General features: G+C 49.9%; 1 protein-coding gene across 28 annotated transcripts in view, besides 4 other annotated features; it reads left to right on the forward strand.

Annotated features, from left to right (window-relative positions):
- The window catches only part of PKNOX2 (PBX/knotted 1 homeobox 2), a 268,639-nt gene extending 256,188 nt beyond the window's left edge, over positions 1-12,451 (forward strand). For all 28 annotated transcript variants that reach the window (NR_168082.1, NR_168078.1, NR_168083.1 and 25 more), the window contains 3 exons: positions 8,074-8,150; positions 9,025-9,203; positions 10,228-12,451. Coding sequence is in view for 19 of the 28 variants with exons in the window: in NM_001382333.1 (NP_001369262.1) it covers positions 8,074-8,150; positions 9,025-9,203; positions 10,228-10,454 (483 nt within the window). In the remaining 9 variants the exon portion in view is untranslated. The remainder of the gene's footprint in view (positions 1-8,073; positions 8,151-9,024; positions 9,204-10,227) is intronic.
- Positions 5,565-6,066: an enhancer, noted in NCBI's record as "H3K4me1 hESC enhancer chr11:125296399-125296900 (GRCh37/hg19 assembly coordinates)". NCBI's record gives its function as "activates a minimal SCP1, AML or CMV promoter by ChIP-STARR-seq in naive H9 embryonic stem cells {active_cell/tissue: H9 hESC(naive)}" and the evidence as "EXISTENCE:reporter gene assay evidence [ECO:0000049][PMID:30033119]".
- Positions 7,771-8,674: an enhancer, noted in NCBI's record as "H3K4me1 hESC enhancer chr11:125298605-125299508 (GRCh37/hg19 assembly coordinates)". NCBI's record gives its function as "activates a minimal SCP1, AML or CMV promoter by ChIP-STARR-seq in naive H9 embryonic stem cells {active_cell/tissue: H9 hESC(naive)}" and the evidence as "EXISTENCE:reporter gene assay evidence [ECO:0000049][PMID:30033119]".
- Positions 8,266-8,555: an enhancer, noted in NCBI's record as "active region_5696". NCBI's record gives its function as "activates an Ori minimal core promoter by ATAC-STARR-seq in GM12878 lymphoblastoid cells {active_cell/tissue: GM12878}" and the evidence as "EXISTENCE:reporter gene assay evidence [ECO:0000049][PMID:35858748]".
- Positions 12,535-12,829: a silencer, noted in NCBI's record as "tiled region #8813; K562 Repressive DNase unmatched - State 8:EnhW". NCBI's record gives its function as "represses a minimal TATA promoter and a strong SV40 promoter by Sharpr-MPRA in K562 cells {active_cell/tissue: K562}" and the evidence as "EXISTENCE:reporter gene assay evidence [ECO:0000049][PMID:27701403]".

Here is a 16,628-nt window from a genome sequence, read left to right on the forward strand (position 1 = left end):
TCCTGAAGCCCATGGACCCCTCCCGACTTGAACACAGATCTTTAACCAAAGTGGCTTTTAGGACTGGCCAGGAAAACTGCCTGTTTTTAGAATAACTTCTGTCTATGAAAAAAAAACATGATCTAAGTTCCAAATAACATATCTCTTCACGAACACCCAAATTTCAGGTATGAGATGTGATTTCAGCACTAAGGGGGTTGATCATGTAATTGGGGAAATAAATGATAGACATAAGCCAGGAGAGGTCAACCCACGACGTAATCAAGTGCTATTATACAAGCACGGACACTCGAGTGGCTCAAGAGCCAGAAGAGTGTGTCCAGGCACTAGAATCAGGTTGCAAAAGGTTCTTTGACAATCATCTTCAGAGGGGGCAGGCAGGATGGGGAGATGTTTCTTCCAGTGACCCTAACAGGAAGCATGTCATGTGAGGAGCGGCTGAGGGGTCTGGGGATATCTTGCCTGCAGAAAAGAAGACTCGGGCAGCCTGTTCCTTTATGGCAGCATGGTGTAGCGCAAGGAGCAAGGGCTTTGGAGGCAGATAGGCTTGAGTTGGTCCAAGCTCTAATTTTACTTACTGTGTGATCTGGAACAGGTTAATGAACTTCTCTGATATTGCTTTCCTCTTTATAAAATGGAGATAGAAATGCTACCTATGATGAATAGGATTGACAATATGTTAGAAAACACAGTGCCTGAAGGGTGGCCACGTGTTCAGCAGAAACACCTTCCTACCCGTCAGAGCAAAGGGCTATGCACTGAACGATGGTGGCCTTGCAGGCCGGCATGTCACATTTTTTATGTCAGCACACATAGAAAATGATAGTCAAGCCACCAGGCTGCTTACGCCCGGAGACCAGCCGGGGAGCCCTTGCTGCTCCAGACTCTGCAAACCACATCCGGGGCCAAGGACACCGCTGTCTGCACACTTACACCTTCTTGGGGTATGCTGGCTGGAAAGCGCTGGTGTAGAGGGCTCCTGCCCTGTGGGAGAAGCTGGACACAGAGACCCTGAGAGCTCTGTGTAATCTTGAGATGTTGGTTAACAGGGTTTGGTTGGAGAAGCTGGCATTTGGGCTGGGCCTTATGAAGGATGGCTAGGATTTAGGATTGGGTAGGAAGAGAAAAAGGAGGGGTCATTTTGGATGACAATTATCTCTTAGATAATCATCAATGCCCCTATGATTCGTATTGGCCACAGGGAGTGACCCCTCGCTCCAAGTTGTTGTGGTCCTCAAACCCTCTTCACCCCTTATTCTCACTCTTGAAACCTGGGAACACTGTGGCCCCTTACCCCAGCCACGACTGTCTTCATTCTAGACGCTGTTCAGGCATCTGTGCCTGAAGGCCTTTAGTGTACGGCTACCAGGAGGAAGGAGGTCAGGCCAGCTGGGTTCTTGGTTACATTTCTCTCTTTGTCCCAGAGAAATCTTAGACCTCAGACTCCTGCCTGTGGGGTGAGAGTGTTTTCTCCACCCATCCTTCGCTGTAGGGATCTAGAGAGAAGCTGCCCTCCAACTCCCCAGGAGTGATGTTTGACTGTCGGAGGCATCCCCTGGTGTAGCGCTGTCCCAGGGTGTGTGCCCTGCTGGCAATGTGTCCCCAGGGAAGGAAGAATTGGATTGATGCTTCTCCATCCAAGACTGAGCCTTGTCGACAACAGGCAAGTCAGCTGCAGGGTTGCATGGAGGCGCTGAAAAGGGAAGGTGTGCAAGAGACCCCTGGGTTGCACTGAGCCCCAGGACACCCCAGAGGGCTGCAGCTCTAAGAAAGTCCACCTGAAAAATGGCTGCAGGAGATTTACAACCTCACAGCATTCCCCAAGAAGCTTAAGACTCAGGTTAGGATAAAATGTCCCCATCATAGTACATGCAGGAAATAAAACCCATTTGAAAAAATGAGCGTATTTGTATGCTCACAGAAGGGGCTGCTGGGAGGCTCCTGCCATCTGCCAGGAAACAACCTGTGGCTTCTTCAGAGACACAGCCACATGCGTCAAGCTACAGACTTATTTGTTATTTATTTAACAAACACAGAGTACACTAAGCACCGTTCTAAATAGCTTTCGTATATTAACTCATTTACTGATACTGATCAGTTTAGCTACACACACACACACACACATATGTATACACATACATATATACGTATGTATATACACATATATACATATATACTCATTTAATTCTTATAGCAACCTTGAAGCAGGTGGAATTATCTCTCCCATTTTACAGAAGAAGAAACTAAGTAATTTGCCCAAGGTCTCACGCCGGTTAGAGACAAGACAAGGATTCAAACCTGGGCAGTCTGACTCTAGAGTCCGTGTTCTCACGTACTTCTAACAGTACTGCCTCCACGTCTTCTTTAGAGAGGTGACCGGTGTGCCTTAATGGACTCTTAAGTACCCCCTTTTTCTCTTCCACATCCTCCCTGAATATACGTTCAACAATAATTGAAAAAGCAGCATTATTAGTGAGTAGAGCAACCTGCCTCTAGGTGGAGCTCCTGGGAGGTCCGATCACTGATGCTTTCCCCACTCACCTTTAACCTGCAGATGCCCACAGGAAATGGTGAGAAGTACCAGTTACTCCGAAGGCCCCGTGTTCGTTCATTCAACAGATGCATACTGAACACTTACTACATGCCACACATTTTTCCTTGGTGCTAGTGAGGTAGGGTTGAAAAGAAAGACATGGTCCCTTTTCTCAAAACACTTGCAGCCTGCCCCTTGGGGTGACAGGTAGCTACACAGACCCAAAGCCCCTGTAGTAGGAAGAATCCTAGATAGGGCAAGTGCTCAGAGCTCATAGAAGGGGCATCTGAGAGGGCTTCACTTATCAGGGATGGGGATGGGGAGGAGGTTAAGAAGGACCCATCTTGCTGGCATTGTGAAGCATAGATTGACACAGAAACCAGAGGGAAAGAGAATAGTTTTGAGATTGCAGGAAGGTGAAGAATGGGACAGCAGTGTGTCTTCACAGTGGAAAACTACACAGCGATTAAAAGGAACAATTACAGTTAAACAGAGCCAGCATGGATGAATGATTCCATTTACATCAGGTTCAAAAACCTGATGTCAACTAGGTCATCATGTTTAGGATGTAACACAGATAGCAAAACTATAAAGAAAAGCAAGAAAGTGGTTACTGCAAAAGTCAGGAGATCTTTGGAGAGGTGTTTGGGGGGACAGAAGGGGGTTTGTGGGGTGCTGGTAGTATCCTATTTTTTTGACCTGGGGGTGGTTACATGGGTGTTTGCTTTTCTTCGTACTTTTCTGAGTGTTCAGTTTTAAGGGGAGCAGGGATAAAAATGAGAGCAAAAATAAAAGAATGGAAAGCATGAACAAGGGCAATGACTACAGAAAGAGAAGTTTCTCGGGTGACTTATTGTGCTTCTCTTTATTCTAAAAGACTTTTTTTTTCTTCCATTTTAACATCTCTGAAATTGGGTACATCCCACCATCAGTGGCCTCTTAGATGTGATGGAATGTGGTCGTTTTGGGGCCCCCACCATCCTGGCTGCCTTCCTCTGGGTCTCTGGCCCTCCTAGAGTGGAACCACCCCAGAGTGGTGGCTGGCAGCAGCCCATGGCCCCACAGCTGTCAAGAGGGAGAGGAGGGGAAAAGCGTGTAGTGGACTCTGGTGCAGCGCTGCTGATGGCAGGAAACCTAATGGAAGCTCGCTGATCTGAATCAGCCTCCATGCCCCGCTCCACCAGCACCTCAGTGTCTATTGACACTGACAGGCTGCGGCTTCCCATCTGCTGTGTCCCTTGGTGAACTGGCTCACCTCATGGTGAGATCTACATGGCTAGGAGGTGGAAGGACAATTGCCAATGGGCTGTGCATGAAAGAAATATCCAGGACCTGTGAACCAGAACTGGCTTAGCTTCCTTCTGAACCAGCCCCTGGGCAGAACTCACTCTTTCAATTGAAAGATGCTTTTAGTATCAGTTTAGTCCAGAGGAGAGTTGCGTTATGGGGCTATAAAGGGAGGTATCAGAGAGAGATGGGAAAGAGTTGAGGTCAGATTTCAGCGGAACTTCCTGGTGGCAACTACAGTGCCCTGAGACACCTACTTGGTGTAAATACCATAATTCCCTTCTCTAGAGTCCTTGAGTATTCAACTAGATGATGCCGGGAGGCTTCAGTGCATCGCACAGAGTGAGTCAATGGAGCACACAGGCTTACCCTGCACTATCTCATTAAATCATCCCCATGTCCAAGAGTTAGTCACTGTTTTGCTACTTCCATCTAAGGATGGAAGACATAAAACAAACAAAGGTCACTTGCGTGTGTCAAGGTCACACAATGTTAAGGGGTGGGTCAGGACTTGATCCCATCTCTGAAGGTCCTTTACTCCCTGGCAGCACTGCCCAGTCGTGTGAGGCTCCAGCTGTCCCTGAGAAGGCTCTGTCATCTTCTAGTCTGTTCTGTACCTCTTTTTCTTTTTCTTTTTCTTTTCCTTGCTTTTCATGAACTGTATCTACTTCTTTTTCAAGGAAGGATTATCTACTTCCAGAGAGCTACTGTCTGGGCCCTTCTCTTCCAAATCCAGGGAGTTCCCTCCAATAACGATCAGAGAGCAGCCACTGTGCCTTGATGGTTTGCCGTGATCCAATAACGATCAGAGAGCAGCCACTGTGCCTTGATGGTTTGCCGTGATCCAATAATGATCAGAGAGCAGCCACTGTGCCTTGATGGTTTGCGTGATCTCATTTGATTCTTCTTCCCCTCCTTGGCCCCAAGCCTGGCCAGTTGTGCTAAAAGTAGCGCTGACCCAATCATGGTCTGTCCAGAGGCCAGGACTATTTTGACTCTGTCCTCAGGAATCATGTGGTCTGAGGCGTGTACGAGCTGGACTGCTCCCATGACCACTCAGATGTGGTGCCAGGAATGTTCTGGCTGACACACCTGTCCCCAGAGCTGCTAAACGCTGCTACTTACCCCACAGCCCCACAGCGTGCGTCCTGAGATACTGGACGTCCAGGAGGGATAGGTGGTGAGGACTTGCACCAGGCGGTGGTTAGGGGCTTTCTATCCTCATTCATAAGAGAGCAACCAGCCAGTTTTGGGTGGCATTGCTTCTCATAGCTCCCCACTGGACTGGAGCATGTTAATCTGTGTATTTGTGACATTCACTCAGAATGGGGGCCCGACAACAGAAGGCTCCTTAGAGACAGCAAACATTATTCTTCCAAGGAAGGCTGGAGGATTTCCTTCTCTGGAGGCCGTTAATAGTGGAAGAACTTTTCATCCTACTGGCTTAAATATAAGTCCCAGTGCAAGGCTCCTGCCTGGAACATCATCCTCTCCTCTACTAGATTGGCTTTGCCATTCTTCAAAGTCCAACTGAAATCCCCTTCCCTAAGGACTTCCTTCTTTTGTCACCAGAGGGGTACTTAGCACAGACTTCCCATTAATAGAGAGGCTTTTTCCTCCTTTTTTTCTTCCCATCTAGTCTGTGAGTTCTTAACTTCAGATATCTTTCACTTGCCAGCACCCAGGATGCGGCAGATGCCCAACAGTTGTGGGCTGGTGAACCAGCACAGCCAGCACGGCCACTAGCTCTGCTCAAGAAACAAGTCTGCGTCTCCTTATTGTGCTAGTTCATTCCTCAGTTCACTACACAATCCTTCAACGTTGGCCTCTTTGCCTGTCTGCACACTGTGCCTGGTCAGCACGGCCACTAGCTCTGCTCAAGAAACAAGTCTGCGTCTCCTTATTGTGCTAGTTCATTCCTCAGTTCACTACACAATCCTTCAACGTTGGCCTCTTTGCCTGTCTGCACACTGTGCCTGGTCTGCACACTGGAAATAAACAATGTCTAATGAGATGGGGTCCCTGCCTGAGAGAAGCTCATGGCCTAGTGGGGGACACATGTCTTGCCATCTAGTGGGCGAAAAGCAATCATTCAGAGGCCACGGTGACCAGCTTTGCCTCAGGGAGTCGGGAAGGGCCTTGCAGAGGCTGTGATCTGTGGCAGGCCCTCACAGAAGCTCAGAAAGGCACGCGAGGACAGGCAGGAGGAAGCGCGCTCCAGAGGAGGGCCAGCACGTGCGAAGGCATGGAGGCATGAAAGGCCCTTGCACCTGGGAAGGCCAAAAAATCACCATATTTTTGCTGCTTTTTGTCTACAGACCAGCTGGCTATGGACAGGGAGGCTGCTTGGCTCTTTCCCACAAATAGGGAGGTTGGAGCCAGGCACTAGGGCTTGACCCCAGAAGGTGTCAGAGCTCCCAGAGTCCTTGCCTCTCTGCCCCCTGGGGCCATCTGCACCCTCTCCTCCCATCCTGCCTCCGCTCCTTCCCAATTAGAATGAAAATTGGCTCCTGTAATGCTGATGTGCCTACTTTCTTGTTAGAATCTTAATACCGTATGAATCACAAGTCCCAGCTGCCTTGGCATGGTGGTCAGGGTCAGAGGTTTGAATTAAAGCAACACATGGTCCTGATGGCTTCATCTGGGGGATGCTGAGGTAGGGGAGAGGCTGCTCCTCCTTTTCCACCGATAATGCGAGTACCACCAAGGCTGCTGACCGCAGCCTTTTCCCTCAGAAAGTTCTAAGCACCTTGTAACACCCCCTGATAATAAGAGTATTCGTACCTTTTATTGAGCATTTTACAAGTATAATTTCATTTATTTGTCAGATGACTTGCTGATGTGTAGTTAGGTGACGTGCCTGAGATTTCATAGCTAGTCATAATAGAGCCAGATTTTGAGACCTCCCATCTCGGGGACCTTAGACAGCTCAAGCACCACTTTCTAATACCACTCCAATCAAAAGGAATGATTTTAGCCTGAGGATGCTGGATGGCTTGATCTTCTGCCATAAGAGCCCCCAAACCTCCCCTAGCTTCCAGGACAAAACTCTGACTTATTCAGACGTTCGCCACACCTTAATTGCATGCTGGGTGCCAGGCACAGGGCTGTGGCCTGAACAAGTCCTAGGGATGCATAGACTCAGCCATCCTGTGGCCTCCCTCCCAATGGGGTCACGACTCTCTTCCCACTGCCACCCAGAGCCTTCTCATTCTTTAATGTGACCTGTTCAGTCTTCCCCACCACTGCATTTCTCTCCTTCTTAGCCTCTACAGGGCTCATCACCCAAACCACAGCATTGAGTGCTGTGCTTTTGCTTTCCTTCACTCAGCAGGCATTTGTATGTCATTTGTATGTGGAAGGCACTGGGGATACATTCAGTATCCCAGTGCCGTCATGAAGCACAGTCTGAGAGAGGGAGACAGATGCGTAGTCAGTGCACGGGCTGCAGCATGTGGGGGACTGAGAGAGACACCTGCCCTGCTCTCTTTCTCACCTCCACTCAGTCCTATAAAGTGGCATCATGAAGCAATGGAAGAAAGACTGGACCCAAATCGGAAGACCTGAGCTGGTGCTACCATCTGGGGGACACTGGAGGAGTCATTCCATCTCTTCATCTGCAAAGTGGGAATAACAATACCTAACCTGCCTGCCTTTCAGAGTTTCAATGATGTGCTTTATTAAATAAAATGATGATTTTTTAATGAATAAAATGCATGAAAGCATTTTACAGGTTATAAAGCACTATACAAGTAGTACTCTTCTGTCTCCTAGCCATGCCTAGCATAAATCTGGGCACATAGTAGATATTCAGTAAATAGCAGTTAACTTAAATTGATCCATTCACCCCGCCTACCACCTTCTATGGGCGTTTGAGGCCATTGGAAACCCTAACACTGACAATGCCTGCCCTGCCTGCTGGGGGCGGCAGTGAGGATCAAGTGAGAAGGATGTGCCTTGGAAGCTGTCAGTACTGAACCATCTTGGTCTTGGGAAACCTCCCTGGCTCCCCATTGTGGGGGCTTGGCTGAGGACTGGCCAGCCCGGGATGTGGAGTCTCGGGCATGGGGCAACCTTCCTCCAAGCCCTAGGTCCATTCTCTGTGGGGAGCAAACATGACACTTCCCCAATTTTGGTTCCCAAACCACTCGGGCTGCCTGGCTCAGGATAGTGCCCATGGCGTGGGCACAGTCCCTTGGGGGGGCCAGATCAGCATATGCCCAGCCCTCACTAGTCTCCACCTCTCGTTTCAGCACCCCTACCCCACGGAGGATGAGAAGAGGCAGATCGCAGCCCAGACCAACCTCACCCTCCTGCAAGTAAACAACTGGTGAGTTTGCATCACCTGCATGCAGGCTCCCAGATCCAGGGGCCACCTTCTGGGCAGGGGAATGCGTAGCAGGGAAAAGAGACTCGAATGCCAGGATCTGCCTCAATCTCAGCCCAGCTACCATGCCAGTCCCCCCATTTAGGCTAGAAGCAGAAAGCAAGAATCAACACTGGCACCTGTGGCTTCATCTGCAGCTTCTCAGCGCCCTCTGCTGGGACATTGTGTCAGGCACATCCCTGGAAGCTTCTTGAGGAAGAGAAAACCCACGCCCACCTGAGCACCCAGCCCACCTGCACTTCAGAGACAGACAGGATTGCCCGCAGCTGTGCACCGGAGGCCAGTGGTCATCTGGTCTTCCCCACCCCCATGTGAACTGAGACTAAAACTAGCTGCAAAGCTGGGAGTGGGGAGAGGGAGGAGGAGTAGCCATTCTGACCCCACAGGGATCTCAGCTTTCCCAGTCTCTGTGCCTGGCTGGGCTGTCAGGGGAGCTCAGAGAGCAAGGTCTGGCTGGATGGAAGTAGACCCCAGAGCTGAGGGCCCTGATCCGAGCCCTTGGCTCTCTGGAGAGAAGTCAGAGGTTAGTGCCTATGACTACCATGCTCTCCTCCTCCGTTCAACCTGGAAGGTCTTGAGCAGGGATTTCTGACCCCCCATGCATTCTTCCCATATGACTTTGCAGTTACCAAGCCCCAGGAAATTTCATGAACTTCTCAGCACCCAGGGCCCTCCTCCTTGCTGGGCTTTTACATCCGGGATGGGAACCCCGGTCTGCTCTGTGAAATGGAGTCTGAAGGCAGCTTCACCCTCCCTGCCCCCACCCCAAGGCCATGCAGGTGATGACTAACCAGGTCTCCACTTTACCTCTGGGCAGGTTCATCAATGCCCGGAGGCGCATCCTGCAGCCCATGCTTGATGCCAGCAACCCAGATCCTGCCCCCAAAGCCAAGAAGATCAAGTCTCAGCACCGGCCCACCCAAAGATTCTGGCCCAACTCCATCGCTGCGGGGGTGCTGCAGCAGCAGGGCGGTGCCCCAGGGACAAACCCCGATGGTAAGAACTGGGGCTGAGTGCACCCTAGACAAGGGCTGGGGGTGCTCCTGGAGCTTCTTCAGGTCAAGCCGTGCAAAGATTCAAGGGCTATCTCCTTACCTGGGCTCCCATCGCTGCCATGCCACAGTGATTATCCCTCCCCAAAGCCCTAAAGAAGGGGATGTTTTTGTACATAATTTAACAGACCAGATGCACTCTCATAAAGAAAAGCGGGAGTTGGTGGTCACGCAAGTCAGTGACTGCTCAGCAGAGCCCCCCATGTCCGCACCCATCTGAGTTCCTTAGCACCAGTAAGTATCTGCACAGCTCTTCAGGAGCCAAGGCCATCTATAAATATCAAGGCAGGCAGCTGGCTCGTGAACAGGGGCCAGGAAGAGCTCTGTTTTCCCAGCCTCTCCATCACACCCTCCATATACACTTTTCTAATTGCCAGTCGCCTAGTGCACAATGAATAATTCAATGAGCCAAGCATTTTATAGCTTGGCATATGAAGATAGCTCTGTATGGGGAGTGGAGCGTAGGTGTGCGTGTGTGCACACATAACCTCATGCACACGTGTATGTGTATGGTTGTGCACAGGTTCCTTTGTGATGAGCCATCTTATGGGTTATGATGGGAAAAAAAAAAACAGATTTAGGGGGCTGGACCAGCCTGGGAGAAAATTCCAACTCTGTCATCGCTGACAATGTCATCTTGAGCTAATGACTTAACTGTCTGAGACAGAATGGGGATAATAATACCTGCCTTACAGAATTGTTAGAAAGTCAAAAGTGGCCAACACATAAAGAAAATGTGCAGTGAACGGTGGCTGGGAGTGCTGCTTCCTGAGATGGGGCAGGGAGTAGCTGACTAGTGAATGGATGGGAGACTTCATACCAGGGCATTGTCCAGCTCAGGCTTGGACAGCTCTAAAAACAAGGAGTTCACTGCTCTATGAGCCAGTCCATTAAACCCTGTCCAACACAGAGGTGCTGGCCCTGACCAGCAGCCCCTGCCTCGTCCTGACCCTTGCTTTCTCTCGCAGGTTCCATCAACTTGGACAACCTGCAGTCCCTGTCCTCAGACAGTGCCACCATGGCCATGCAGCAGGCTATGATGGCTGCACACGATGACTCATTGGATGGGACAGAAGAAGAGGATGAGGATGAGATGGAAGAGGAGGAGGAGGAGGAGCTGGAGGAGGAGGTCGACGAGCTGCAGACGACAAATGTCAGCGACCTGGGCTTGGAACACAGTGACTCCCTGGAGTAGTCGGGCAGCCCAGATGGCACTGATCACTGAGCAGGAGAGGAGTGTCGCCGGGAGGCCTTCAGGGTGGGGGGGAAGGGGACATGGGCAGGAAGCACCGAGGGAGTTGGGCCCTAGCTTCCCCAAATCAGTAGCTTGAAGAAAGGCAAAGGAGACACCTGTTCCTTCCCAACCACCGAGCTTCAATGAGGACCCCAGCCCCACTTCCCTGGAACTGCCGAGGACTCTGTTTGGCGGGGCCAGTCGAGCAGCCTGTGTGGAAAGACAGGAGTGAGATCTGGACTCACCAAATCCCTGAGGATAGATGGCACCCATGGCCCCCACCCACGGAAGGACTTGAGTTGTTTACAAGCCCTGCACTGAGGCAGATTGGTGCTGTTCGCAGAGTAGGCCTTTGCCCGGGGGCAGACTTAGAAGGAAGGGGAGAGACAAAGGGGGACTGAGTTTCATCCCCAGAAGTTTCTCAGCTCCTTTGACAGACATTCAAGGGCAGGAGGGAGCCCCAAAGCATAACCAGTGGCCAGAGGAGTGGGAGGGCCTGAGGCATCACATCTTGCAGATCAGAATGGGATGGAATCCACCAGGCTCCAGCTCATCCCTCCAAGGCCCTGTCTCTGCGCACAGCAACCATGGACATGGGAGAAAGGGATGGGAGCCACAGTGCCCTTCACTCTCTCCTGGAAACCAACTGTAAGCTGGTGGGCTCAACCTGTGGGAGGTTAAGAGGAGTCCCTTCTGGGTTGACTCCAAGAGCCAAGGAGATGGCAGACCCTGGGCTAGGAACCATATGGAGGTGACTTTGAGGCCACAGCTGTCCCTAGGTGATCACAGAACTTAGCTCCTTTAACAACAGGACAATGGTTTTTTACCCTAGATGTTCCCACCTTCAGTGCTCCACGCCCTCCATAGACCTTCAGAGAAGGTGAAACCAGGTTATCTGGGAATCTTTCCAGCCCGCAGGTCGCCACGGCCATCCCTTTGCTCCCAGCCTGGCTCCATCAGCCTCCAGCTTCCTTTCTTCATTCTGTCCTTCAGGGAAGGCAGAAGAAACATTGGAAAGCATCTAGTCCAGTGGGAAGCCAGGGGTTGGAGAAGGTGCTACATCCCTCTTCCCATCAATATCCTAAATGTGGGGGAGGGCCCAGAGAATGGCACCCAAGAGCCTGCGGGGATGCCCATCCCACACACCCCACCCAGCTGTTCTAACCCTGCTATCCACAGCCCTGGAGGAACTGGGGCTCCTGGAAGGAGGAGGAGGCTCTCCACTGTCCACCCTAACACATACCCTCCCACCCACCTTCCAGACCCCCTTGGTTGGCACCCTCTCCTCCGGTTCCCTCTCACCCCATGGCTGTGAATGACAGGACAGGTCACACGTGTGTTTTCCATTGGGTTTAATTTAATGGACGTGCAGTTTCATTTGTAAATTGTGCATTGGCCACCTCCTTCAGTGGCAGGATGTGAGTGGCTACCTGGCTCAACTGGAGGGGACCCCTTGGGCCCTCTGGGGCTTCCCCTCCCCCACCTGGTTGGGGTAGAGCAAAAGGATGGTCACTCTTCCGAGGTCTCCCTGAAATGAATGTATTTCTCCCCCAAAAGAGCTGATATTTAATGTTTTAATAAGGATTTTTGAGAAACAAATAACCTTATTTATAATCTGGGTGATCCAATCATTTTTTACTCCCTTTTGATGCCATACATAGAGGAAAGTCTAGCTTTTTTGGCGTGAGACTTTTGCAATGTGCAGTGGGATAAAATGCATTTCCTTTTCTGGTTCGTTTTTCTTGTTAACACGCGCACACAGACACACACACACACCGTTCCACTCACCACCTGGACAGGCGTCCCCCAGCACGGACACACTGGCACACAGGTGCCCACATCTCTTCCTCTCAGCCCCTCCACCTGCCTAATGTTATGCAACCTCCTTCTGATGTATCCACCAAACCAGTACTGAATGTGGCCGAGACGTTTTCAGTAAATCTTATTACCTACCGTAACCCTGGTGCACAATTCTCTTTCTGTGGTTGCTGTGGCAATCCTTTGCTCTTTTCATGGGACCAGAGGCCAGACAAAATTTGGAGGCCTCAGTATACACCTGACTACCCAGGGAAGGGGACAAGGTAGATGTGCGTCCTGCGTGAGCTCAGCTGCCCTGTCTGGGGAGGAAGAGCCAATTTCAGCACACTCACCTTGTGTGCGGCCGGTTGTAAGGCAGAGCTAGGGAGAGAAGGCAAGGAAGCTCTGCACTGCCCTCTCCTGACAGCTTCCCCGACCGCAGCGGAAGCTATGAATCTGGTCCCTCTTGTCCACCATACTCCACCTCCCTCAAAGGCTTTTGCTTTCCTGTCTCCATTCCCGGCCTTGAATCCCAGGGATCAGCACCATAATCCCCCAGGCAAGAAGAAACTCAGGCAGCTGATCTCCACACAGAAGTGAGAGGCAGGCCTTCTTGTCAGCTCCAGACGAGAGGGTACCTTCTTTAGCCACACTTGCTGAGAGGTCTGGGGCATCTGTTTAGAAGCAGGAAGGGAGTGCCTTGTTCATGTTCAGGAATGCTGGAGAGTTTGCACGTACTGGCAGATCACCCCATGGCCAGGTGGAAGATAGGGAAGCCAGTGGTTGGTTACACAGGCGAAGTGGGCTCTGACCAGCTCTGGTGGAGTTCCCTGCATCACTGCCCTCAGGGAGCCCAACATCTCTCCCCCTCCTCACACCTGGAGAGAGTTCTGCAAACCCTACAGAAACCCCGCCTCTCTAGGTAGAGGAAGAAAATCTTAAGAACTGCACGATGATTGGAACCTCACCTCCAGAGCTGGGAAGACAACAGTCCTTTAAGACAGTGGTTTCTAAGGAACACACTGTTGAAAGATATGCTACCAAAAAAAAAAAAAAAAATCCATGCCCAAATTAGCCTAAGATTAACTGCATATTCTGTTTTGTTAGTAGAGTTTCATCATGCACATTATTATACTAAAGGCTCTAAAAAGTCCTACAGGAAAGAAACCTGTTGAACTTTGTTTCAATTGTTCCGAGATTTGCTCCACCTCCCTTTTTTTCAAGTAATATCTATTCAAGTTATACCAATATTCCACAAAACACACTTTAGGGAACACTATTCTAAAGAAATTGCAGAGTAGCCTGTCCTACACTCTCCCCGCCAAGTTTTTCTATCAAGTTCTGCCAGCCATCTTTTCAACCACGCTGCCAACTGAAAGTGGGTTTCTTTTTTCTTTTCTTTTTTTTTTTGAGATGGAGTTTTGCTCTTGTTGCCCAGGCTGGAGGGCTGGAGTGCAATGGCACGATCTCGGCTCACCGCAACCTCTGCCTCCCGGGTTCAAGCGATTCTCCTGCCTCAGCCTTCCAAGTAGCTGGGATTACAGGCATGAATCAACACACCCTGCTAATTTTGTATTTTTAGTAGAGATGGGGTTTCTCCATGTTGGTCAAGCTGGTCTTGAACTCCGGACCTCAGGTGACCCACCTGCCTTGGCCTCCGAAAGTGCTGGGATTACAGGTGTGAGCCACTGCGCCCGGCCTTTTAAAATTATTATTATTTATTTATTTATTTATTTTTGAGACAGGGTTTCACTCCCATCACTCAGGCCGGAGTACCATGGCACAATTTCGGCTTACTGCAACCTCCGCCTCCCAGGTTCAAGTGATTATCCTGCCTTGGCCTCCTGAGTAGCTGAGACTACAGGCATGCACCACAAGGCCCAGCTAATTTTTTTGTTTTGTTTTGTGTTTGCAGAGATGGGGTTTTGTCATGTTGCCCAGGCTGGTCTCCAACTCCTGAGCTCAAGAGATCTGCCTGCCTCGGCAACCCGAAGTGCTGAGGTTACAGGCGTGAGCTACCACTCCCGGCTGAAAAGGGGTTTCTGAAATCACTTGAGATGTAGGTAGTTGTATTTTTAGGAGCCAACAACCTCTCTCTGTGCATGACCCAAATGCTGCCCAACCCAAGGAAAAGACACGCCATAATCCCTGTGGAAATTCAAGAGATGGATGACAGGGCGAGGGGTAGGGGAAGGTTTCCTTTACCCAAAACCGAACTCTGATATCAGGGCTCTGGCAACTCTCAGACTGACTTCTGCCCCCCACCCCCCGACCCATCAGGAAAGACTTTTCAAGCTCAGAGATCCTGCTCATGGGAGTTGGTGGCCAGAGCTCAACTTCCTTGACCGAGGATCCCCTCTCCTGCCTTGCATGGGGCCCCAGGAGGGCAATGACCACCACACTGCAGCCTGCTCCAATTCATTCCTGATGAGTCATTCATTATCTCAGCATGCATTTATCAAGCCCCGACTCTGTCCCAGGCACTGTTTTACAAGAATACACCTGTGGCTAACAAGGACAGCGTTCTTTACTTCAGGGAGTTTACATTCTACTAGAAACAACTGAGACTGGGCCAGGTACGGTGGCTCACACCTGTAATCCCAACCCTTTGGTTGTCCAAGGTGGAAGGATCACTGAGCCCAGGATTTTAAGACCAGTCTGGGAAACATAGTGAGACCCGCCCCCACCTGCCCGCATCTCTACTATTTTAAAATGAATATGCATGAGAAAAAAGAAAAAGATTGAGACTGAAAGAGTGCTCGTAGCATCCTTGTAATGGCTATAACTATGATCTCATCCTTACCACAGAGAACTCAAACTTCTTCATTCAGAGTTGCAAAGCAGGAAGCTTTCAGCTCCACTGTGAGGTTCAGGTTAAGCTCAATTTTCAGACCTGTTTTGAGCCATATATTGTCTAAAAATTGTGTGCCAACTTTTAAAAGTTAGAAGGTTACACATTAAAAAATCAGATTCCTGGCTTCTCCTGAAAAATCAGGCAATCAGGCGACTTGGGACCTATATAATCCCACTTGGCCATGATTGAGTGTAGTTGAATTAACTGCTGCCCCCTAAGGCACGTTCTCTGTGTCATCAGGACATTCGCAGCCCCTGTGGTCTCCCCAACACGGAGGCTGAGGGTTCATTGCTTATTTACTATTGGCTGTCACTATTTGGGTGGCTGGTGGCTTAGTTAAGCTTCCCCCATGTCCTTTTTTTTAAACCCCCTTTTGCTGTAATAGCTAAGTGGTTGTTTTTAAGAAGGGAAATATTTATCTCTACTCATTAATCCATCAAGAGGATTGCTTGGCCTCTTGGGAGGCCAACTGGGAGGCCTGAGGTCAATTGAGTTTGACCAATTGGGAGGTCAAGGCGGGTGGATCATGAGGTCAGGAGTTCGAGACCAGCCTGGCCAACATGGTGAAACCCCGTCTGTACTAAAAATACAAAAATTACCTGGGCATAGAGGTGCATGCCTGTAATCCCAGCTACTCGGGAGGCTGAGGCAGGAGAATCACTTGAACCTGGGAGACGGAATTTGCAGTGAGCCGAGATCATGCCATTGCACTCCAGCCTGGGTGACAGGGCAAGACTCCATCTCAAAAAAAAAAAAAAAAAAAAAAGAGTAAGAAAACAAGATAGTCCAAGAGGGAGGGCCCTGCCTTTGGTACAAAATATTGGAGAGAATGTATTTGTTTGTGGGCATAAAAGTACTCCTACCTTTCATTGCAAAGTATACCTGTGTCTCGTATCCAGATATCTTCACTCATACATTTTCTGCCTACCTTGCCTCCCCAGGCAACAATGAGGCTAGAGGCATAAAAATCACCAGGGTTGCTTGTTATAGATACAATGTAGGTTCCACAACCGGTGTTTGCCCCAGATAGCTAGGCAAGATGCCCAAAGACTTGGAGGAGCATTGCTCTCAGAAAATAGTTTTCAATTGTTGGCCGGGCATGGTGGCTCATGCCCAGCACTTTGGGAGGCTGAGGCAGGCAGATCACTTGAGGTCAGGAGTTTGAGACCAGCCTGGCCAACATGGTGAAACCCTGTCTCTACTAAAAATATAAAAATTACTCAAATGTGGTGGCATGCACCTGTAGTCCCAGCTACTTGGGAGGTTGGGGCATGAGAATCGCTTGAACTTGGGAGGTGGAGGTTGCAGTGAGCCGAGATAGCGCCACTGCACTCCAGCCTGGGCAACAGAGTGAGACTCTGTCTCAAAAATAAAAATTTAAAAAAAAAAGAAAATAATTTTCAATCATCTTTTGAAGCTCCTTGCTTTATAGCTGCTCCTTTAACTTCCTTTAGCCAGATACACTACCACCCTCAAGCCAGTGA

Source organism: Homo sapiens, chromosome 11, assembly GCF_000001405.40.
Source record: "Homo sapiens chromosome 11, GRCh38.p14 Primary Assembly".
NCBI lineage: Eukaryota > Metazoa > Chordata > Mammalia > Primates > Hominidae > Homo > Homo sapiens.